The sequence below is a fragment of the Homo sapiens genome, chromosome 1 (assembly GCF_000001405.40).
Source record: "Homo sapiens chromosome 1, GRCh38.p14 Primary Assembly".
Taxonomy (NCBI): Eukaryota; Metazoa; Chordata; class Mammalia; order Primates; family Hominidae; genus Homo; species Homo sapiens.
Genome location: NC_000001.11, coordinates 212,992,118 through 213,016,107, shown reverse-complemented (window position 1 = coordinate 213,016,107; position 23,990 = coordinate 212,992,118). Strand labels below are relative to the sequence as shown.

The following is a 23,990-nucleotide window of genomic DNA, read 5'->3' as shown; positions in this document are numbered from 1 at the left end:
TGAACCCGGGAGGTGGAGGTTGCAGTGAGCCGAGATCGTGCCATTGCACTACAGCCTGGGCGACAAGAGCGAAACTCCATCTCAAAAAAAAAAAAAGAAAGAAAGAAAGAAAAAGAAAAAAAAGAAAGTTTATTTCTGTTTCTTTAAGACGAAGTTCGGGTGTTTTGCCCTCTTCAGAAATGGTTGCACGCGCGTCCCACGCTCTGCGCATGCTCCTTGAGCAGAATTCCGGGTTAAGGCATTCAGGGACTCTGACTGCGCAAGATGGAGTGTAGGCCGGCCGGCGAGACTGCACCTCCCAGCATGCCTTGCAGCCAGGACTGGAGTCGGTACTTAAGAGTGATGGGGTTCCCTAGATACTTTAGGCCGTCGCATCGATTATAGAGATTGAGGTGGAACCCGGGGCCTGGGAACTGGACGCACGCGGAGGGCGAAGATGGAAGCCTGGCGCTGTGTGAGGAAGGGCTACGGCCACTGTGTGGTGGGAAGAGGCCGGTCAGTAGGGCTGGGTACTCGGAGGGAGGAGAGAGGGGCGGGCGGCCTGAAAGAGCGGGCGGGCGTCCGGGACTAACCCGGGGCGGGGCGGGGCGGGCTAGGGGTGGAAGGAAGAGGAAGAGGGTCTGGGCGATGGTGCATCCGGGACGAGCCTCCAGAGACCAAGCGGGATAGGTAAACCCGCCGCGCAGCTGGCGGGACGCTGGGCCAACGAGGTCTGGGGTCTTGGCGCGGAGTTCATGGGCCGCCGGCCAGGCTTGTGCCAGTGGCTTTGGATCCCTGGCCTGCTTCCCCCAACCCAGCCTCCAGACCAGCGCTGGCCTGCTCCACACACTCCGCAGCACCGTCCCGGGAACCGAGCGTCGGCGGGGAGGCCGCCTCTCCGCAGTAGGTCTCGGCGGGCCTGATCCCTTGGAGGCGCGTGTGTGGCACACGCCCAGGAGGGGCTTGATTTTTGTTGATGTGTTAGTGTCTTTCAAACTTTAGTCACTTGTATGTCATCCCTTACTGTTATGGCCAAGTTCTTGTTTCACGTGTATTATTTACTGGATATTTTTCTTTAAATTGACTCAGTTTTTTTTAAAAAGCACTTCAGTAGGTGCTGCCCACATTAGCTTCACCCTAAGCAGTGTCTGCAGAGTCTTGGATTTGATGTGCGATTATGTTTTTTCCTAATAAACTAACATAAGTATTTAGAAATTACAATCAAGTAATTTAACTGTGTACTCTGTGAAACCGACTCGTGTACCACCCACCACGCTTGGGAAACACAGCATGTATTATTACATAAGCGATGGGGATTTGGTTGTAACTCCCATAGGCCTGGGACTTGATGGTAATTCAGTTCAACAATGTTTCCTGAGTACCAGCTGTTTGCCAGGCACTGTGCTAGGCACTTGTGAAGATAACGGAATTAAAATGAATAAGACGGTTCTGTTCTGGCCCTGAAGGAGCTTAACATCTTAAGAGAAAAAAAAGTCTGAATAAATAACTGCAAATATAGATAATAGCTTTTGTAGTACAAGTATTATATTTCAATACAGTGGCTTATTAGCATAGAAAATGCATGGACCAAGTGCCCAAATTCCTATGGCTTTCAGAGTTATCACAAAGCAGTGTAGAATGCCCATGTTATGCCTTTAAAGATTTACAATTAAGTAGATTTTAGAGAACAACTAGCGAATACTTAAACTGTAAAAATTATAATAAAAATTTAAATGCTGTTAAAACGAGAATAACAGCGTATAAAGTTAAATAACAGTAAACGCAACTTAAACAAAATTCCCTTAGGGATGGGAGCGCACATTATTGATGCTGTGGTAGAAATGTAGCTGTTAAGAATTTTGGAGGAAAGGATAAAAGTCCTTCTCTGAATCTTAACATTTTGCCAAAGTAGTATAGTGAGAGGAACATGGTGCTTTATTAAGCTGAAGTGTTTCTTGAGAGCCTGAGAGCAACATACCTATTAAAAATGTTAGCGCCACTTTGGAGATGTTTTGGATGATGGGTTAAATTGAAGCTGTTGGTTTGGAGTGTTGGTGCATTCGTAGTACGTCATCCCCATCCTCTTTCATTTCCCCCAACGAGAATCATGCTTAAAAAAGAATGGAGAAATAAATTATCCACCCGTTGATTAGTAAGAGAAGTAGTTTTGTGAATTTATGAAGTTGTGGATAGGCTTTTGTTTTCCTAACTATACAAGTGTTTGGAAAAATCTGCCCTTGGTATAAAAAACTGTTCAGAAACTTGTTATTACTCCAAGTTGGAGGAGAGGTTTACTTTAATTGTAGTGTGATATGAGTTCCTTATTCGATTTCAGTATAATACTTGTTGTGTATTTTATTTTCTCATTGAGTTTTGTAGGTGCTTGAAAGCTACTCTGAATATCATTTTGATAGTTGATTCATCTCTCAGTTGAACTATGTACATTTTCAGGGGTATGTGGTATTTTGGGAGCCTGGGAGGCATTCTGTGTTAAGTATTCAGAATACCATTCATGGTTTTTTAGGACGAGAGTATTGAGATATTGATGCCAATAGGTAAATCATGGGTGCTTTCCTCTTCATCCTTCACAGATTTAGCAGCCAGATTTTAAATATTAGACATTACCTTCCCTTGAGGAAACAGGCTTAGATTTTGTAAACTATAGCTGAACAAAAAGTGGTGCCTCAAGGAGTGTATTTATTTCTTTTAGATACCCCATGTTTCCCCATCACTCGAGGAGTCTGGGCAGAGACTGGACTACACCGTGGGAGAATCTGCAAAGGTGTTGCTGGAACAGACATATTTCTAGTTGTATGAGGTGGCCTGGACATTACTCTCGAGCTCCTTACCCATACTTCAGTAGTAGGCATTTTTCACTAAATTGGAGACCACCCTGTTTGTTTGAGTCTAGAACTCAGTTCCAGTACTGTAACTGGAGACCTGACAACCTGAGCCAGACATCTTTGATTCATCTCTCTAGTTACGTCATGAACGCTGAGGGAGATGAGCCTTCATCAAAACGAAGAAAACACCAAGGTAAAGGTGACATTTATCTTGGTGTAGAAATAGATACAAGTGATAGACTAAATTGAAACTTTCATATCTAATCCTTTAAACCTCCTAAGGTTTTAGAGGTGTTTGGTGTTGACTTTTAGCCAGTAGTTTTATGTTAGAAAAAAATGAATTCTTCCTTAAATGAAGTCTTTATTTTTATCTTCAACTAATTGTGTATTTCTGACTATAAAAATAGAAATGAGTCTACAGATAGAATAAGATTGGCAAAGAAAGGAGAAATAGATTACAAAAGTAAGTTTTATTTAAGGATAATTTTTAAATCCAATGTTTTTGAAACAAAGGCCCTTAGACTTCTTAGAAATTGATGGCTATATGCTTAGAAGTCTACAGATCTAAAAAAAATTTAGTGTTTTCATTTTTAAGCTAACATTTTTATGGAAGACGAAAGGACTCATAAATAGAAGCAATCATAAATGGAAGACATGGTCTTATAGGATAAGATTTTCATTTATTACATCTGTATATCTCAAATTGGGTCCATAGATAAAATCTTGAGAGTTTGCCCGAAGTATTATCTTTAAGAAAGGGAACCACATCTTATTCCACTTTGAGAAACAGTTTTTTAAAATGTGTTAATTTACTTCTATTTTTTCATATTCTTTCTACTCTGAACAATTCACTAGACTCCCTCTGTGCTGCCAGTCTTGCCCCCATCACAACCCCATCTCCTGAAAGTATAAGTGAGGTGTCTAGGTAGAATTTGGAATTGTCTTTCTTATTGAACCATAATTTTCAGTGAAGATAATTCCTCTGAAGATAACTTGAGAGAAGGATGTGTGGGTGTTAATGTTTAGGGAGCTGACATGTAAGTTTGTCAAAGGAAGGCATTCAAGGTGAGTCTCATCTGGAAATCAAAGCTAGAATTAGTGCTCTTCAGGTTCCCTCTGGTTTTGTTATCAGAAAGTAGTCTACAGGCTTCAGCTGGGTCCCAATCAACTTTGCTAAGCTAATATTCAAATAAATGTGTAACTTATTGCTACACAGTTACAAAGGACCTAGTCAGAAAAAAACACTTGTAGAAATTCTTAACTGTCCAAAAGTGAAAATCTGTTTGTGTATAGTACTTAACCACAGCATAGGGAGATAAACAAGAAATATTTGAATGAATGAAAGGTGTATTTAGAGGCATTAAAATTAGGTTTCTAAGAACAATCCTAAGATCTATAAATATAGGGCAGTATGATGATACCAGATTGCTTTTCACTCATAAAAATTTGTCCATCAGGTCAGCACACTCCTCTTGTTTAGCCTCTTAGAAATCTGGGATGCTTTCAGATGGAGCTGTGGCATAGCTACATAAGCATTGATTTAGGAACCACTCCCTGCTTTCTTTTCTGCCCCACCACTAATTATATGAACTTGGACAGCTTACTTAACCTCTTTGCTCCTTGATTTTTTCGTGTAAAATAATGCCTACTTGAAAGTCTGTTGAATGAAATGAGATACTGTATGTCAAAGTGCCTAACACACTGTTGGCTTCATAGTAGGTACTCAGAAAATTATGGTGTTGTTTTCCCTTAATGGATGGGGAATTACATTTACCTACTGATAAAGCTTGATTACAACCTGACTTTCTATATGTCCATTCTTCCTAGGTGTTGTGAATAAGGAAAATGCTCTTCGTTAAGCCATATTTGTGACTTCCGATATTTCACTAATACTTTTCAATCAAGAAAACAGCATTGCTAACTTGCCTATCACTTTAAAGTGGTATTTGAAGGATTTGTGTGATACAATTATGACTTTGTAATTAGGCACCCTAAAAACCTGATCAGGCCTATTGCTTACTTTCTTTGATTCATCTGTCTTCTCTGCTGTGATCACCTTGTTCCTCCTGATATGGAAGGTATATAAGCTTTTGTAGTGTGAATTTATGTTGTGAAGCATATGAAGGCCAGAGACTATCCACTCTTATCAGTGGTTTTCAAATTGTCTTCCATGGAACCCTCATATTTGAACACATTTCTGTAAGTTTATTAAAAGCAAATGTGGTCAGTATAAAATATGTGTTCACCCCATCATCCCAGCCCCAGTCCCAGCATGCCAGGGATTGGTGTTCCATGGCATGAAAAGTAACACAGAAGGGTTCTACAAGTTGTAGAAGTTTGAAAGCCACTGTAGTAACCAGATAAACTAATGGTCCTGGTTGTTTAAAAAATGGAATTGCAAAAAGAGTTGTTTATAAACTTTAATGACCAGGACAATAAAAATCTTAATGCATTTATATGCCATTACATGTACATGTTTTATAAGGAAATATGAATAAGGTTTTTAGACCTTAATTTTCATATTTTAATATGGCAGTGAAACCAGGGTAGTGCTCCATCTGTGATGATAGCTTATATATTGTTTGCATGACTGGAACCCTTTCCATCTTGTATACATAAGAAGACTTTGATTTGGCTAAAACCATCATAGACAGTCTCCAGTTTATGAATGAATTGTGTTCTACACATGATCAGTTCTTTTTTTTTTTTTTTTTGAGACGAAGGCTCACTCTGTTGCCCAGGCTGGAGTGCAATGGCGCAATCTCAGCTTACTGCAAGCTCCACCTCCCAGGTTCACGCCATTCTCCTGTCTCAGCCTCCCGAGTAGCTGGGACTGCAGGTGCCCGCCACCACGCCCGGCTAAATTTTTGTATTTTTTAGTAGAGACGGGGTTTCACGGTGTTAGCCAGGATGGTCTTGGTCTCCTGACCTTGTGATCCACCCGCCTTGGCCTCCCAAAGTGCTGGGATTACAGGTGTGAGCCACCACGCCCGGCCAATCAGTTCTGTTTTCCCTATAGAAATTTTGTTATAAATCTGAATGGCTCTGCAGAGCCAGTACAATTGGCCTTAGTTCTGAGCCATTGGGGGTAGGATTCCTATCTTCAGTGAATGATAGGGAAGAGGATAGTTTCCTTTCCTGGGCATAGGATAGGCTCTAGGCAAAATTCTTCATAGTTGAAGACTTTTGTTTAGTTTGGTTTTGTTTCTTTCCATCTTTTTTTTTTTTTTTTTTGAGTTGGAGTCTCACTCTTGTTGCCCAGGCTGGAGTGCAATGGCGCGATCTCGGCTCACTGCAACCTCTGCTTCCCGGGTTACAGCGATTCTCTGGCTTCAGCCTCCTGAGTAGCTGGGATTACAGGTGCATGCCACCACACCCGACTAATTTTTGTATTTTTAGTAGAGACAGGGTTTCGCCATGTTGGCCAGGCTGGTCTCGAACTCCTGACCTCAGGTGATCCACCCGCCTCAGCCTCCCAAAGTGCTGGGATTACAGGCATGAGGCACTGTGCCTGGCCTAATCATACTTTAAAATGATTACTTCATTGGCATTTTTAAATAGCATATTGATATTTTGATTGTAAATGTATTGTGCAGAAGATTTGCAAAAATATTTCACAGTCCTAACACTCAGAGATAACTACTCTTAAAAATATGGGTGTGTTTCCTTTTAGTCTTTATTTCACCCTCTATATAAGTGTATAGGATATTTTAACTTCAATTTAATTTTTGATTGGTGGAATTCCAGGCATTGTATTCCAGTGAAGTGAAAACCTTTGCAGGATAGAGGGAGATATTCTAGGGGCTGAAATTTTTTATATAATTTAATCATACTTAGAAGTCCATTTCCAAATCTGTTTTCCCATGTTCTTCCCATTTTTTTGTTTTCTCTTTTGAACTCATAAATTCTCCAAAAATTCCGTGTTTCTCTTCATGGTTTCCATGGCAGTAAGAGCATGCTCTTTAATGATAGGATGTAGGAGACAAGATCAAAGGTGAATACACACACACACATCACACACACGGTTATTTCTAAGTCAGGGACTGCCTATGATTGCAAAGTCTTGTGTTTTTTTATTCTTTTCATCACTTTTGCAGAATGCATGATGTGTTTGCAGAATATGAACACACGCCTGGTTGTTGCATGCTAGGTTTGTTGGTTAGCCATCATTTACTAGCATTCTGTAGCTATGTCATATTTAACTTTTCCTTTGTTGTACATTTAAAAGATTTCTTTTGTTATTTTGTTTGCATGTTCCACTTCAGTGTTTTAAACACTAAAACTTCTTCCATATATTGCCATTATATACACTTCTTTCATGTATAAACTAGAATTCTGAACTAAGGGTTGCTTCTGGAACTTGGTTAATCATTTGACGATCTTATCCCACTAATAGGGAATAAAATACAGTGTAAAATCATCTTATTGAAAAGCCAACTTTGACATACAAATTTGTTGTTATAGTTATAAAACTGCCAATCACATCTGTGGCAGAGCCACTTCTTAACTGTAGAGAAGTGAGAAACCACAACCTCTGTATAGTCTTAGCTTTGTTAACACATACTCTCAGCCTCCAGAATGACTTGCAAGATTCTTTTAAACCTGTTTTAAACCTGTTGGTCAGTATATTGTGTTACCGCATTTGTAACCAATTTGATAACAGTTCTAATTATTCAGTGCTATATTGCCACTTCCTAGGGAAAAACATTCTATTCATTGCTTATGGGAATTTTTAAGAGGCTGAAAAATACATATATGTGGGAAACTGTATGGTCTGCTTTTGATTAATTCCTTATATTTGTGCAATATATTTTAACAGGTGTGATAAAGCGGAATTGGGAATATATATGTAGCCATGATAAAGAAAAAACGAAGATCCTAGGAGACAAAAATGTTGATCCCAAATGTGAAGACAGTGAGAACAAGTTTGACTTTTCAGTGATGTCCTATAATATACTTTCACAAGATTTACTGGAAGATAACTCTCACCTTTATAGACATTGCCGGCGGCCAGTATTACACTGGAGTTTTAGGTTTCCCAATATTCTGAAAGAAATTAAACATTTTGATGCAGACGTAAGTGCAAAATATTATTGAAATTCTTCACATAAGAAAAAGTTGGGGCCGGGCACACTGGCTCATGCTTGTAATCCCAGCACTTTGGGAGGCTGAGGCAGGTGGATCACCTGAGGTCGGTAGTTTGAGACCAGCCTGACCAACATGGAGAAACCCCGTCTCTACTAAAACATACAAAATTAGCCGGGCGTGGTGGCTCATGCCTGTAATCCCAGCTACTCAGGAGGCTGAGGCAGGAGAATCACTTGAACCTGGGAGGTCGATGTTGCAGTGAGCTGAGATTGCACCATTGCAATCCAGCCTGGGCAACAAGAGCAAAACTCTGCCTCAAAAAAAAAAAAAAAGAAAGAAAGAAAAAGTTGGGTTAAATGTTTCATTTGTGCATTTATGAACTAAATGGTTTTATCCATTTTGTTTGTGGGGTAAGAAAGGAATATGTTTAAGAATAATGATGGAATAAGTCTTAATAAGGTATAACTTTCAGAGAGGCATTTGTTAGTGGTTGCTGGTATGAATAATCATCTAACTTTTCAAAGAGGGTCCAAAAAGTTTTTAAGTATGGGTCAGTTTTGAGACAGAAACTGGCAACATATTAAGTATTCAGTAAATATTAACTTTGATTTGAAATTTCAGTAATTCATGCAAAAATGTCACCTACCTGATAGCATTCAAAGAAATCTGCCTCTTAAGACCTGAAAGATAGTACCAATGAACATGTAAAACCCGGAAAAATATCCTGACATGTAAGCTAAGAATATTTCCTTTTGGAAATAATAATTTTGAGTACTAAGGGAGCTCCATGTGATTGAGGGCCAGAGTTTTGAGATTGATCAAAATTCGGAAACATTAATTTGGTAGATCTATAACAAGAAAAACAGGTAAGTCTTTTATTTCAATTCTTATCAGGTGTGGAATTTTAGAAGCCTGCTTTTAGATATTTTAAGATAAAAGCACCAGGAAATTCATGATTGCATCTCTGTGTTCTAATTCAAGCTATTTTTTTCTTCCAAGGTACTTTGTTTGCAAGAAGTTCAAGAAGATCATTATGGAGCAGAGATCAGGCCAAGTTTGGAATCACTGGGTACAATGCAACTTTTTTTTTTTTTTTTTCTTTTTTGAGACAGGGTCTCACTCTGTCGCCCAACTGGAGTGCAGTGGCACAATCATGGCTCACTACAGCCTCAACCTACTGGGCTCAAGTAATCCTCTCATTTCGGCTTCCTGAGTAGCTGGGACTAGAGATGTGTGCCACCATGCCCGGCCAATTATTTAATTTTTTTTATAGAGACAAGGCAATGTAACTTTTAGCCAAATTTACTTTTGAAAATTCATGTGTCATTAAAGTATAACTTGCTGACAAAGATGTGTGGCATATTTTGGCTAAAAATCTTAATTTTAAAAACTTAATTTCAAAGAGGAAAAGATTGAGGTACTCACTGGAAACTTTTGTGTTGGTGTATAATTTTAATTCAAACAGAAAGATGTGTAAGAATATCTTAGTAGCTCCCTTTCCTAGGAGTTGTTCTGTCCACCTGTAGACCTATAAGCTTCTGAGCTCCAGGAGACCATTTTGTCTCGTTCATCATTATAATACCAGTGCCTGCCAGTGTCTACCTAATGGATAGATGCCAAAAACCTGTTTGATAAATAAACACTCCTAGAAACAAGTTATCTGTGGTCCCATATACTTGAGAAGTGTGCTTACTTTGCATTCATTCATTCAGCAATTTTTTTTTTTTTTTTTTTTTGCGACAGAGTCTCTCTCTTGCCCAGGCTGGAGTGTAGTGGTGCAATCTCGGCTCACTGCAAGCTCCACCTCCCAGGTTCACGCCATTCTCCTGCCTCAGGCTCCCTAGTAGCTGGGACTACAGGCGTCCGTCACTATGCCCAGCTAATTTTTTGAATTTTTTTTAGTAGAGACGGGGTTTCACCGTATTAGCCAGGATGGCCTTGATCTCCTGACCTCGTGATCCGCCTGCCTTGGCCTCCCAAAGTGCTGGGATTATAGGCGTGAGCCACCACGCCTGGCCTTCATTAGCAATTTTTTTTTGAGTGCCTACTATATACCGTGCACTGTTCTAGGGAATGAGGATATAGCATTGGGCAAAAAAGATTAAAAAAATTTCTCCCTTGTGTGGAGTGTACCTTCTGGTGGAGAAAGGCTAACCAAATAAATAAGTAAATAGCATATTAAGTAATGATAGTTTTCTGGAGAAAAGCAGGAAAGTGGAATAGGAGAGGTTTCAGTTTTAAACAAAATGATCAGACGAGGTGACATTTGAACAAATATTTGAAGGAGGTGAAGGAATAAGCGATGCCTAGAACATTCTAGGCAACAGAAATAGCAAGGGAAAGGCCCTGAGGTTGGAGTGTGTTAAGGCAAGTGAGGAGGCCAGTGAGATTGGAATGAAGTGAGGGGGAAGGAGTTACAGGCAAAAAGATCAGGAATATAGGGTGGAGAGAGTGAGAGAATAGATTATTATAAAGCTTTACTATTGCCATGACTAAGTTTTACTAGGATGGCAACGGGAGACTGATAATACACATTAGCATATCAAGGGCTGAAGTCTGCGCATAAAGAGGCCTGTTAGACCCAGTGTCAAACGTTTTTTATTCCAATGTTTATTGACATCCTACATTACTAATGTTTTGCAGAATACAGTTTGGTAAACATTGTTCAGAAGTATCAGGTGAGCTGTGTTTTGATAAATATATAAAAGCAGTCATTTGTTTTAAATTCATTTGTTTCTTGTAGGTTATCACTGTGAATATAAGATGCGGACAGGAAGGAAACCTGATGGCTGTGCTATTTGCTTCAAACATTCCAAATTTTCACTCTTGTCAGTGAACCCAGTGGAATTCTTCCGCCCTGATATTTCTCTGTTGGACAGAGACAATGTTGGATTAGTTTTACTCTTACAGCCCAAAATTCCATATGCTGCCTGCCCTGCAATCTGCGTAGCAAATACGCATCTGTTGTATAATCCAAGGCGAGGTGATATTAAGCTGACGCAATTGGCAATGCTACTGGCAGAGATTTCCAGTGTTGCCCACCAGAAAGATGGCAGCTTCTGCCCTATTGTTATGTGTGGTGACTTTAATTCTGTTCCTGGTTCTCCACTATATAGTTTCATAAAGGAAGGAAAATTGAATTATGAAGGACTTCCCATAGGAAAGGTAAGTGCTTTCTTCATTGTTATTAGGGAGTGGACATAGTTGCTCTGCTCATGATAATGTGAAGATAGTCATTACATGGCTATTTGAAAACCTTGGATGATCCAGTACCCTCACTTTATCAAACTATGATTTTCCATGACTTTTTTTTTTTTTTTTTTTTTTTTTTTGAGACAGTCTCACTCTGTCGCCCAGGCTGGAGTGCAGTGTCATGATCTCAGCTCACTGCAAGCTCCACCTCCCGGGTTCAAGTGATTCTCCTGCCTCAGCCTCCCGAGTGGCTGGGGTTACAGGTGTGTGCCACCACACCTGGCTAATTTTTGTATTTTTAGTAGAGACGGGGTTTCAGCTTGTTGACCAGGCTGGTCTCGAACTCCTTACGTCGTGATCCACCTGCTTCGGCCTCCCAAAGTGCTGGGATTACAGGCGTGAGCCACTGTGCCCAGCTTCTTCTAGTAAGTAATTATTTTCACTTGGTTGATTTATATCTTTTTCATCTATCTGTGGCAACATACTGCTTGGAGGAATTAACAGGCAGCAAAAAAAAAAAAAGTATTGACAGACATGGATACTTCACCGATAAGTAACACAAGGTGGCAGGATAGAATTTTGAATGCTGGTTGTGGGCAAAATAGTAATTTAACATTTATTATACAAGTTTCCGTTGTAGAATAATAAATATTTTCTTTAGCTTAGCACAATTTATCTCGTGATTATTTTTATTGTGCTTTCCTCTCCTTACTTTAGATCATTTCATCTTCAGTATATTTACCAAAATAAGCTCTCCAACACTGGAGTTTTGAGTAATAGTTTAAAATTATTTATTTTTTTTTTTGAGATGGAGTCTTGCTCTTTCGCCAGGCTGGAGTGCAATGGTGGGATCTCGGCTCACTGCATCCTCTGTCTCCCAGGTTCAAGCAATTCTGCCTCAGCCTCCCGAGTAGCTGGGACTACAGGCTTGCACCACCAAGCCCGGCTAATTTTTTGTATTTTTAGTAGAGATGGGGTTTCACAGTGTTAGCCAGGATGGTCTCTAACTCCCAACCTTAGGTGACCTGCAGGTTCACCTCGGCCTCCCAAAGTGCTGGGATTACAGGCGTGAGCCACCATGCCCAGCCAATAAGTTTAAAATTTTGTAAGAGTTAATCTCTCTTAGTACAGGTATACTTCATTTTATTGTGCTTTGCTTTATCGAGCTTCAAACATACTGCATTTTACAAAATTGAAGTTTCATAGCAACTCTACCTTAAGCAGCTCTATCATTGCCATTTTTCCAACAGCATGTGCTCAATTCCTGTCTCTGTCACCTTTTGGTAACTCTTGCATTACTCAAGCATTTTCATTATTATTAACATCTGTTATGTTGATCCAAGATTAGTGATCTTCGATATTACTATTGTAATGGTTTTGGGGTGTTATGAACTGTACCCATATAAAATGAGAACTTAATCGATAAATGTGTTCTGACTGCTCCACTAATCATCTCTCTCCCCCTACTTGGGCCTCTATATTCCCTGAAGCACAACCATATTGAAACTAGGCCAAGTAATAGCCCTGCAGCGCTCTCTAAGTGTTCAAGTAGAAGGAAGACTCACATGTCTCACTTTGAATCAAAAGCTAGAAATGATTAAGCTTAGCAAGGAAGGCATTTTGAAAGCTGAGAGAGGCCAAAAGCTAGGCCTCTTGCACCAAACAGCAAAGTTGTGAATGCAAGGAAAAGTTCTTGAAGGAAGTTAGAAGTGCTACTCCAGTGTATGAAGGCATAATAAGAAAGCAAAACAGCCTTATTGCTAATATGGAGAAAGCTTGAGTGGTCTGGATAGAAGATCAAACCAGCCACAGGATTCCCTTGAGTCAAAGCCTAATCCAGAGGAATGCATTAAGTCTCTTCAATTTTTTGAAGGCTGAGAGATGAGGAAGCTGCAGAAGAGAAGTTGGAAGTTAACAGAGGTTAATTTATGAGGTTTAAAGAATGAAGCCATCTCCATAACATAAAAGTACAGGTAAAGCAGCAAGTGCTGCTGATGTAGAAGCTGCAGTAGGTTATCCAGAAGATCTAGCTAAGATCATTGATGAAGGTGGCTACACTAAATAATAGATTTTTTTTTTTTTTTTTTTGAGACAGGATCTCGCGCTGTTGCCCAGGCTGGACTGCAGTGACACGATCTCGGTTCACTGCTACCTCTGCCTCCTGGGTTCCAGCGATTCTGCTTCAGCTTCCCAAGTAGGTGGGATTACAGGTGCATGCCTCCACGCCGGGCTAATTTTTTAATATTTTTTGGTAGAGGTGGCGTTTCACCATGTTGCCCAGGCTGGTCTCGAACTCCTGGGCTTGAGCAATCCTCCTGCCTCAGCCCCTCAAAGTGTTGGGATTACAGGCATGAGCCACCGCACCTGGCCAACAATTTTTAATGTGGATGAAACCACTTTATATTGCAAGAAGATGCCATCTAGGACTTCATAACTAGAAAGAAGAAGTCAGTGCCTGGTTTCAAAGGACAGGCTGACTCTTTTGTTAGGAGCTAATATAGCTTGTTACTTTAAGTTAAAGTCAGCATTCATTGACCATTCTGAAAATCCTAGGGCACTTAAAAATTATGCTAAATCCACTCTACCTGTGCTATGTCAGTGGAAAAACAAAGCTTGGGGATGACAGTGCATCTGTTTATGGCATAGAATATTTTAAGCACACTGCTGAGACCACTATTCAGAAAAACAGATTCCTTTCCAAAGATTACTGTTCGTTCACAAGGCACCTGGTCACCCAAGAGCTCTGATGAAGATGTACAAGGAAATGAATGTTTTTTCATCCCTGCTAACACGGCATCCATTCTGCAGCCTATGGAATCAAGGAGTAATTTTGTACCTACAGGTCTCCTTATTTAAGAAATACATTTCATAGGCTATAGCTGCCATAGAAGTGATTTCTCTGATGGATCTGGGGAAAGTAAATTGCAAACCTGCAAAGGATTCAGCATCCTAAATGCTATTCAGAACATTCGTGATTCATGGGAGGAGGTCAAAATATCACCATTAAAAAGAGTTTGGTAGAAGTTGATTCCAGCCCTCATGGATGACTTTGAGGGGTTCAAGACTTCAGGGGAGGAAGTAACTGTAGATGTGGTGGAAATAGCAAGAGAACTAGAAGTGGAGCCTGAAGAATTAACTGAATTGTTTCAATCTCATGATAAAACTTAAATAGATGAGGAGTTGCTTCTTATAGATGAGCAGAGTATTTTCTTGAGATGCATTCTATTCCTGGTGAAGATGCTGTGAACATTGCTGAAATTACAACAAAGGATTTTAAATGTTACATAAATTTAATTGATAAAACATTGGAAGGGTTTCCAATTTTGAAAAAAAGTTCCGTGGATAAAGTGCTGTCAAATAGCATCAGATGCTACAGAAAAATCTTTTATGAAAGGAAGCATCAATGGCTGCAGCAAATTTCATTGTTGTCTTATTTTAAGAAATTGCCACAGCCAACCCCCACTTTAAGCAACCATCACCCTGATCAGCCAGCAGTCATTAATATCTAGGCAAGATCCTCCACCTGTAAAAAGATGATGACTCACTGAAGGCTGAGATGATTGTTAGGATATTTTAACAATGAAGTATTTTTAAATTAAGGTATGTATTTTCTTAGGCATAATGCTATTGCACACTTAGTAAACTACAGTATAGTATAAACGCAACTTACATGCACTGGGAAACTGAAAAAATTATGTGACTTGCTTTATTGAGATACTCACTTTATTGTGGTGGCCTGAAACCAAACCCGCAGTACCTGTGAGCATGCCTATATTTGATACAATAGGAACTATATTGCAGGTAGTAAAAAATGATGAATAGTGTTAGTTCAAAGCGATAGATGATTTGTATGTCCAAATTAAAGAAAAGCATGTATGGGAAAAAGATTGTCATTTTTATGTAAATGATAAGTGCTTTCTGAATTGTATTTAAAGAAAAGAAGATTTTATAAGTCCAAAGAATCACTTAATACAATGAATAAAGGGTAATAATTTACCACTTTTGGATTACCTTTTATTTAAGACATAAATTTTTCAACTCATAAGCTATTTAAAATCTTTTCACTTAAGATACCTGTTGAAATTTTGTTTAGGTATCTGGCCAGGAACAGTCTTCACGGGGACAAAGAATTTTATCTATTCCAATTTGGCCCCCAAACCTAGGTATCTCACAGAACTGTGTGTATGAGGTACAGCAGGTACCAAAAGTAGAAAAGACAGGTAAGTGTTTGTAATACATTTTGGCAGTCTGCTGGGTAATCATGTTCCCTTTGAAGACATAAAACTAAGTTTTTAAAAAGAAAAAATCTCAGGGATGAATATTCATATATATAAATATGTAGTTATTCATTTTTTTTCTTAAGACCTCTAAATTTACCTTTTTAAAGTTGAACTTCCAGAATTATCTGTGCATGATTTACTTGCATGTTGCTTTGGAATTGTTTGCATTTTTCTATTTTTCCTAATTCTGGAGGCCATCGAAATATATAGATTCCAGAATGAAACATGTAACTAGGCATCTTTCTAACCTAGATAAGTCTTAAATATTGTTTCTAGAGTAAGATGACGATATTAAGGCAAACTAGAACAATAACATTAATATATTTTCCTCTATTCTTACAGACAGTGATCTGACACAAACACAGCTGAAGCAAACAGAGGTCCTAGTGACAGCTGAAAAGTGAGTTCTGGAAAGCAAAAGGAGACATTTGCTAACTTTAGTTGAATAAAAAACTCATTTCTCAAAAATCACTTGGATAAAAAAATGAAGGTGATAGTATTCCGTGCTGGTGAAGGGTGCTGGCCCTTAAGTCAGATAGGCCTGAGTTCCAGTCCTGACTCTGCTGTGTTTTAGCCGAATGATTTTGAGCAAGAAACTTAACATCTCTGAGGTTCAGTTTCTTTGTCTATAGTTTGGATTGTTGTGAGGATTAGATGAGACAAAGCATATAAAGCACAATGTCTGAAACATACCTAGGCACCTAGGTAGTGTTAGGAAGGGAAACAGCTTGTCTGTGGACCTGGACCAGCTCAAATACTCTTTGAAATTCACATACTTAAACAAAGGTCAAGATCACATAAAAATATCTTTCAGATCTCAAAAGGATCTTTAGTTGTCTTTGATTTACTAAATCTCAAAACCATCTATAAGAGAATTGATCCAAAAATGAATATGCCAGTTGAAAAGATGATCATTTTAATTTATCTCTTGAACTGTAGGAGAAGATTGTCAGAGGGGTGAAGATGCTGGAATTCTTCATTAAAGAAATAGGAATATTTGGGGCTATGGTTGAGAAATTGATACATGTTAATAAAACAGGACAGAGACTTAAATCTTGTCTCAGGGAGATTCTTGAAATATCTTGATTGTTAATTATATTGTGGCTGTTTTATAGTTTTTTGTTTTAACATTTAAATTTAGGGACCAATTCTCATTTATTTTATCTGCTTCTCAATCTTTATTTTGTATACCTTGTTTTGAGAAAATATTACTACATAAATAAGAACTAGTAAGAATGGAAGCAATTTTTAAAAAAATTTTTTAAATGAATATTTTAAAATTCATGATTAAACCTTTCAATATAGTAAAAACTTCTTTGAATAAGATTAATAAGGAGGCTAATCTAACAAGTACTTCGTTTTGAGTAACTCTTAAATCTTTTTGTAACAATATAGGATATAAAAAAGATATTGGCTGGGCGTGTTGGCTCACGCCTATAATCTCAGCACTTTGGGAGGCCAGGGCGGGAGGATTGCTTGAGCCCAGGAGTTTGAAACCAGCCTGGGCAACACAGTGAGACCCTGCCTCTATTAAAAAAAAAATTAAAACATTCTGGCCGGGCGTGGTGGCTCGTGCCTGTAATCTCGGCACTTTGGGAGGCTGAGGTGGGTGGATCACGAGGTCAGGAGTTCAAGAGCAGTCTGGCCAAGATGGTGAAACCCCATCTTTACTAAAAATACAAAAAATTAGCCGGGCATGGTGGCATGCACGTGTAATCCCAGGTAGGCTGAGGCAGAGTATTGCTTGAACCCTGGGGGGCAGAGGTTGCAGTGAGCCGAGATCGCACCACCGCATTCCAGCCTGGGTGACAAAGCAAGCCTCCGTCTCAATAATGATAATAATTTTAAAAAATAGATACCTTACTTGCCCTTGGTGTCTAAAAATTAAAAGAAAAAAAGAGGCCGGGCGCGGTGGCTCACGCCTGTAATCCCAGCACTTTAGGAGGCTGAGGCGGGCGGATCATGAGGTCAGGAGATTGAGACCATCCTGGCTAACACGGTGAAACCGCGTCTCTACTAAAGATACAAAAAAAAAAATTAGCTAGGTGTGGTGGTGGGCGCCTGTAGTCCCAGCTACTCGGGAGGCTGAGGCAGGAGAATGGTGTGAACCTGGGAGGTGGAGGTTGCAGTGAGCTGAGATCATGCCACTGCACTCCAGCCTGGGCGACAGAGCAAGACTCTGTCTCAAAAAAAAAAAAAAAAAAAGATACTTTTTTGTATCTTTATGTAAATACAGAGTGTTTATATGCATAGCTTATATCTGTAAACTGAAAAATTGATAGATAAGAGTTTGCAGAAGACCTATTTTTATTTATTATTTTTATTTGAGAGTTGATCTCACTGTCATCCAGGCTAGAGTGCAGTGGCATGATCTTGGCTCACTGCAGCCTCCACCTCCCAGGCTCAAGCCTTTCTCCTACCTTAGTCTGCCAAGTAGCTGAGACCACAGGCATGTGCCTCCACGCGTAGCTACTTTTCTAGATTTTTTTTTTTTTTTTGTAGAGATGAGGTCTCACTGTGTTGCCCAGGCTGGTCTCGAGCTCCTGAGCTCAAGCAATCTTCCCGCCTTGGCTTCCCAAAGTGCTGGGATTACAGGTGTGAGCCACCGCGTCCGGCCCTATTTTATGTTTAATATTATAAATCCTTAGACATAAAAAGTTGCTAATAAAACTTAGAGGGCATTTTTAAGGATTTACCTTTGTTCCTGACATATGAACACTTTAAAAGCAAGGGAAACATCTTCATCTATGTATTCTCAGCACCTGACATATTGCCTAGAACTTAGAAGATGTTTGGTAAATGTTTGTTGGATAAGTTTCTTTTTTAATTTTATTTTCCTTCAAGGCATAAAAGATCCTTAAGATTCATAAAGTATCACTAGAAAATAGTCTTTAAACCTTTTACTCATAACATCACATATATTTGTGCATGGGGCAAATATAATAAACCATTAGAGAAGCTGTTTTAAGATGCAGTACAAAATTATATGTGATAGCAAGAAAAATTAGAGAAGAATATGGCCTCTCTGTCATCAAAAGTCTAGAGGATTCCAAATAGTGTTCCTGAAGACCCCCTTGATTCTCTTTCTTAAAAACACAATAAAACTTGTTAGAATACATGTTCTTTAGTAAGTGGAGGCATTCACACGTTATAAATAATGAAAAAACACATTAGTATGTTAATTATTGAGCTTTTTTTAAAAACCACATTTATAATGGCTTTATTGATGGGTTTTAGATATCACTGCATAAGTAAATTAATACTAAATTATGATATGGTCTTTTTAAATAAAGCTTGTCCTAATGTTTGGTCTTAGTCTAGAAATTAAGTGAAAAAGAAATTCAGATAGGAGGAATTCTTGAAGTTACAAAAACTCGGATTCTAAACACTTCTTCTTTTCTATTTAGATTGTCTTCAAATTTACAGCACCATTTCAGTTTGTCATCTGTTTATTCACATTACTTTCCTGACACTGGAATTCCAGAAGTGACCACCTGTCATTCCCGAAGTGCCATAACTGTGGATTATATTTTCTACTCTGCAGAAAAGGAAGATGTTGCTGGGCACCCAGGTAAGGAATGCATGTAATCTTAAATTCTCCTAGAGAGCACAGTAGCTAAAACCTCAAGGTTAAAGTTAAGAAAGCTCTCTAAACATCCAGTTGAAGTTCTAGATCTAGAAGGTAAAAATATTTCGAAATAGACAGATTGGTAATATATTTGAATAAATCAGTTGATTACTTGCATATGAGGGAGGCAATAAAACACATCCAAGCAAATTATTACCCAAGAATTACATTAGCAGTCCTACCCTCCAGTTCCAGTCAGCCTCTGAGTTATAGGTCTTTCATATTGCCCTTTCTTTTTGCTTGCCATAAATTTACTGTTTTTCCTGTGACAGGAACTGAGTATGTTGTTAATGGTCATCATAGTTTTGTGCTTAAATTTTACCGAGGCGTCCTGCCTTCATTGGAGGACCATAGTTACACTGCCAGCAACACAGCTTATGCTGTCATGTTGACTCTGGAATATTGGATTTTTCTGAGGAGGAAAAGTATATATATATATATATATATATATATATATTTTTTTTTTTTTTTTTTGGATACAGAGTCTCGCTCTGTTACCCAGGCTAGAGTGCAGTGGCATGATTCTCGGCTTACTGCAACCTCTGTCTCCCGGGTTCAAGTGACCTTCCCACCTCAGCTTCCCGAGTAGCTAAGACTACAGGCATGAGCCACCATGCCCACCTAATTTTTGTATTTTTTGTAGAGACAGGGTTTCACCGTGTTGCCCAGGCTGGTCTCAAACTCCTGGGCTCAAGCCGTCCACCTCGGCCTCCCAGGGTGGCTTGGATTACAGGCATGAGCCACCACATTCGGTCAGAAAAGTCTATATAATTTTTTTGTTTGTTTGTTTTTGAGACGGAGTCTCGCTCGTCGCCCAGGCTGGAGTGCAGTGGCGCTATCTCAGCTCACTGCAAGCTCCGCCTCCCAGGTTCACACCATTCTCCTGCCTCAGCCTCCCGAGCCACTGGGACTACAGGCGCCCGCCACCATGCCCGGCTAATTTTTTGTATTTTTAGTAGAGACGGGATTTCACCGTGTTGGCCAGGATGGTCTCGATCTCCTGACCTCATGATCTGCCTGCCTCGGCCTCCCAAAGTGCTGGGATTACAGGCGTGAGCCACTGTGCCCGGCCGAAAATCAGGTTTTAAACATTAGCCAAAGGATTTAAAGTGGAGAAGAAAATGCAGTTTAAGATTACTGGAAGTACAAAAATACCTTTAAGAAAACTTTGGAATGTGAGCAGCTGTTTTATTCTTTTCTGATTTTTTTCATTTTTTTCTCTTCCATTTTTTTGGATGCTTCTTTTTCTTTACCCTTTTCCCCTCTGTTTGTTCCCCCCTCCTTTCTTCTGGGAATAACCTTATTAGTAACACTCACGAGATGACTTATTCCTGCCACTAGATCTACTCTACAAAAAATATGCCTGCTGCTTTGAATTTATAGTAAGGTTTTCGTAGTTGTCATGCTGACAGAAGTTCACTTGGTGGCAGGAGAGTGTTATGGATCAGCATTTCAAAAAGAGCATGTCATCTTCACTTCTGTGGGTGCTGACTATCTGGGACTAAATTATACTAATTTATTCTCCATTCACCTTATAAACTGCTACAGGGCTGTGGCCCGGTGTCTCTGGCTTTATGCAACTACAGAATGGTTGCTGGATGAGTTTCTTATGTAGTTGTCAACCACAAATTACCCTTAACATTCTTAAGTATTTCATTTATATTTTCTTCTAAAGATTGTTTACAGAGCTGGAAATAGAAAAAATATCTCAAACTGCTGTGTGTTTGATAATTATAATTAGGTTATAATTCAATAAAGCTTAGATATTCTAAAAACTGTGTCATAGTTTTTAGTCTTCTGGAGGGGCCTCAAGTTCTATATTTGTTTGGAGAAAAGACTTGTATGATTAATTTACAATAACCCGTTGACAATTTTACTAAATATGTGTGTGCTTCTTTAATGTAGGAGCTGAAGTTGCTTTGGTTGGTGGCTTGAAACTTCTAGCTAGACTGTCACTTCTTACAGAACAAGACTTATGGACTGTTAATGGACTTCCAAACGAAAATAACTCTTCAGATCATCTGCCTTTATTGGCAAAGTTCAGACTTGAGCTCTGACTCTCTTTGATCACATACTAATTTTCTTTCCAATTTGTATTGTTTTTCAAAGAATGTAAAGTTCTTAAGTGTATGCATGTTGTTTATTTTTGCACTGTGGAGATTCTGAAGCGGTTATGTTAGATGCTTTGAAACTCCATATCAGAAGAAATAACTTTATAACAATTTTTTTTAATAATGAAAAATATTTTCGTGACAAGTGAGCTCTAAATTCTCTTTATTGTAAAAGAGATGTAAAGGTTTTATATTCTAAATCCTAGTAAAATTGACAGTGATTTTTAAATATAATGCATCTTCCTTTGTCTGCTTAGTAAAAAATTTCATTTCATAATTTTGGCAAGCTCTGTAGTGGATCCAAAGTATCTTTGAGTTCTTGCAAACTACAAGTTGTTTCCTTTCCAGAAGGCTTGATTTCATTAGGAGACCCCTCTATTGAGTTCTAAATAGTTTATCTTAGAAAGCCTTGGGTCATTCACAGGTATCCAACCAGCCATTGTTTAGTTTGTTTTTGAAGGGGTTTGATAATGCTTTTTAAGTTGTACAGAATGCTTAATCCATCTTATTACTGTCCTGAGCCATGTAATATGCCTGCATCGTGTTGGGGAAATGTTTGGGAAATATAAGCCAGCATAACGTGTAAAGCTCACTCTTTCACCCTGGAACAGACAAGAGGTGGGCTTAATAGAGGCAGAGACTGGGGATATACCTTTGTTTCCCTAGCATTTTTATTTATTTATTTTTATTTTATTTTATTTTTTGAGATGGAGTTTCACTCTTGTTGCCCAGGCTGGGGGTGCAATGGCGCAATCTTTGCTCACTGCAACCCCTGCCTCCCGGGCTCAAGCGATTCTCCTGCCTCAGCCTCTCGAGTAGCTGGGATTACAGGCATGCGTCACCACTCCCAGCTAATTTTGTATTTTCAGTAGAGACAGGGTTTCCCCATGTTGGTTAGGCTGGTCTCGAACTCCCAACCTCAGGTGATCCGCCCACCTCAGCTCTCAAAGTGCTGGGATTACAGGCGGGAGCCACTGCACATGGCAGCATTTTTTAAAAATTCAGTTTTAAGATCTCTGGTTTAGGGGAGAGATTTTATTTTACTGAACCAGTTCTATAGAAATTTATTTTATTAGGAAATTTGTCTTTGGAACAAAGTGGCAGCTATAAAATTATTTTTGTTAAGCCTCAGAAATATGAGGAAGCCTGTAAAACTCTAGTGGGGAGATATTAACTTGGAGACCTAATGCTCTGTAAATAGTCATTTAAACTGTTGGTTTTAGTGGTTTTGTTTCTAAAATGTTTTCTTTTACCGTGATGCACCAGTATGAGATGGTGCTGACACTTTCTATGAAGTGGTTATGAGCAGGTTTAATAAATCCTCTATACAAGTGTTTGAATCAATTTTAAAACATAAAAAGTGGAAATTTCCTTTTTTGTAGACAGTAGGAACAAGGAATTATATGCATTTTTACTAAGTAGTAATTTTACACTGAATTGTAAATGTTTTTACAGTGAGTTTTATTAATAGAATGCTTCACCTTAAATTGGAAAACAATAATAGTCTTGGACTAAGTCTTTGTACTAAAGCATTTGCTATAATTATTTTTAAAAAAACAAACAGATGAAAACCTCAGAGAAGGCATGTGGATTATAAGATTTGTCTAGTAAAAATTGTAATTGAATATGTTTAAATATTTAATTTCTCATTTTGGGGGGTTTTTATTTTTTTATTTTTTAGATGGTGTCTCACGCTATCGCCCAGGCTGGAGTGCAGTGGCGCGAACTCGGCTCACTGCAACCTCCGCCTCCTGGGTTCAAGCAATTCTCCTTCCTCAGCCTCCCAAGTAGCTGGGATTACAGGCATGCACCACCATGCCCAGCTAATTTTTGTATTTTTAGTAGAGATGGAATTTTGCCATGTTGGCCAGGCTGGTCTTGAACTCCTGACCTCAGGGGTGATCCACCCGCCTCGGGCTCCCAAAGTGCTGTGATTACAGGCATGAGCCACCATGCCTGGCCTTTGGGGGGATTTTAATTACAGTATTAATTATAGTTCTAGGATTTCCCACATTTTATAGTAGTAGTTTGCAGGATATTATGTGCCCTAATTAGCAGATATAGACATTATCAAATTATAATGATAGTATAATTATCCCTTTTTAATATTGGGGAAAGAAAAATGAAAATTCATTAGTTAATTACTGCTTTGTGTTGTGTGAATTTATTAACAAATAACATTATTACATATAGGTCATTGTTAACAAACAAACATCCCTGAAAACCTCTGTGAAAATTTAATTTTTTATATCCTGATTAATATATTGTGACTTTAGGCCCATTTTTCATGTGCTTCACTTTGATAGAGTTAATCCATAAAATTGCTCTTTACTTTAGCTTATCAAATGAAGTATTATTTTGTGGACTGGAGGCCAAAAAGTCAATGTGAGCTTCTCACAGGTTTTTAAAGCTCCACTAAAAATAATTATCCACTTGTCTTTACTTTTGTTGACCAGAATAGTTGGTAACTCTGCCAGAGCCTGTACTTACCTGCCAAAAACAATTAAATCTGGTTAATGCCTGAAACCAAATCTCTCAGTCTCAAGTGTTATACTATCCAAGTTTTAAATGGAAAGGTAAACTGTGGAGTAATGAAATTTTGGTTTTACTGTACCTTTTGCTATCAAGATAATATTCATGTTTGAAATCTTGTCTTTATTTGGAATTTAGTTACTGTCTGCTTTTAACCTTTGCTTTCCTAAAGAAAGTTTGAGATCCAGAGAGTTCAAGGGATTGGGGAAAGAGAGGCGTCAAGTCATTTGCACTTTGTACCTGTAAGTTAGGTAATAAACTATTATACTCGTACTTCTGTGCCTGAAGGTTTTGTGGTAGGTATACTGAGATGTATAAGCTGTACTGTTGCCTTTAC

General features: G+C 38.8%; 1 protein-coding gene across 13 annotated transcripts, besides 4 other annotated features; it reads left to right on the top strand.

The window, feature by feature from the left end:
* Positions 206-515: an enhancer, noted in NCBI's record as "active region_2527". NCBI's record gives its function as "activates an Ori minimal core promoter by ATAC-STARR-seq in GM12878 lymphoblastoid cells {active_cell/tissue: GM12878}" and the evidence as "EXISTENCE:reporter gene assay evidence [ECO:0000049][PMID:35858748]".
* Positions 206-815: a biological region, named in NCBI's record as "NANOG-H3K27ac-H3K4me1 hESC enhancer GRCh37_chr1:213188635-213189222".
* Positions 228-815: an enhancer, noted in NCBI's record as "NANOG-H3K27ac-H3K4me1 hESC enhancer chr1:213188635-213189222 (GRCh37/hg19 assembly coordinates)". NCBI's record gives its function as "activates a minimal SCP1, AML or CMV promoter by ChIP-STARR-seq in naive H9 embryonic stem cells {active_cell/tissue: H9 hESC(naive)}" and the evidence as "EXISTENCE:reporter gene assay evidence [ECO:0000049][PMID:30033119]".
* Positions 241-23,926, top strand: ANGEL2 (angel homolog 2). 13 transcript variants are annotated; one of them, XM_017002774.2, is made up of 9 exons: positions 241-454; positions 2,690-3,015; positions 7,642-7,898; positions 8,910-8,979; positions 10,654-11,075; positions 15,196-15,322; positions 15,725-15,782; positions 18,790-18,953; positions 20,916-23,926. In XM_017002774.2, exons 2-9 carry the CDS (start codon positions 2,697-2,699, stop codon positions 21,065-21,067), a joined length of 1,569 nt encoding a protein of 522 aa, XP_016858263.1. In that variant the 5' UTR covers positions 241-454; positions 2,690-2,696; the 3' UTR covers positions 21,068-23,926. The 13 variants fall into 13 exon arrangements, 12 of the variants coding, with proteins under 12 accessions (XP_016858263.1, NP_001287682.1, NP_653168.2 ...); NM_001300753.2 differs by lacking the exon at positions 2,690-3,015 and adding an exon at positions 4,650-4,900 and having other exon boundaries at positions 241-495; NM_144567.5 differs by having other exon boundaries at positions 241-495.
* Positions 816-1,404: an enhancer, noted in NCBI's record as "NANOG-H3K27ac-H3K4me1 hESC enhancer chr1:213188046-213188634 (GRCh37/hg19 assembly coordinates)". NCBI's record gives its function as "activates a minimal SCP1, AML or CMV promoter by ChIP-STARR-seq in naive H9 embryonic stem cells {active_cell/tissue: H9 hESC(naive)}" and the evidence as "EXISTENCE:reporter gene assay evidence [ECO:0000049][PMID:30033119]".
* Positions 23,927-23,990: the final 64 nt, after the last annotated feature.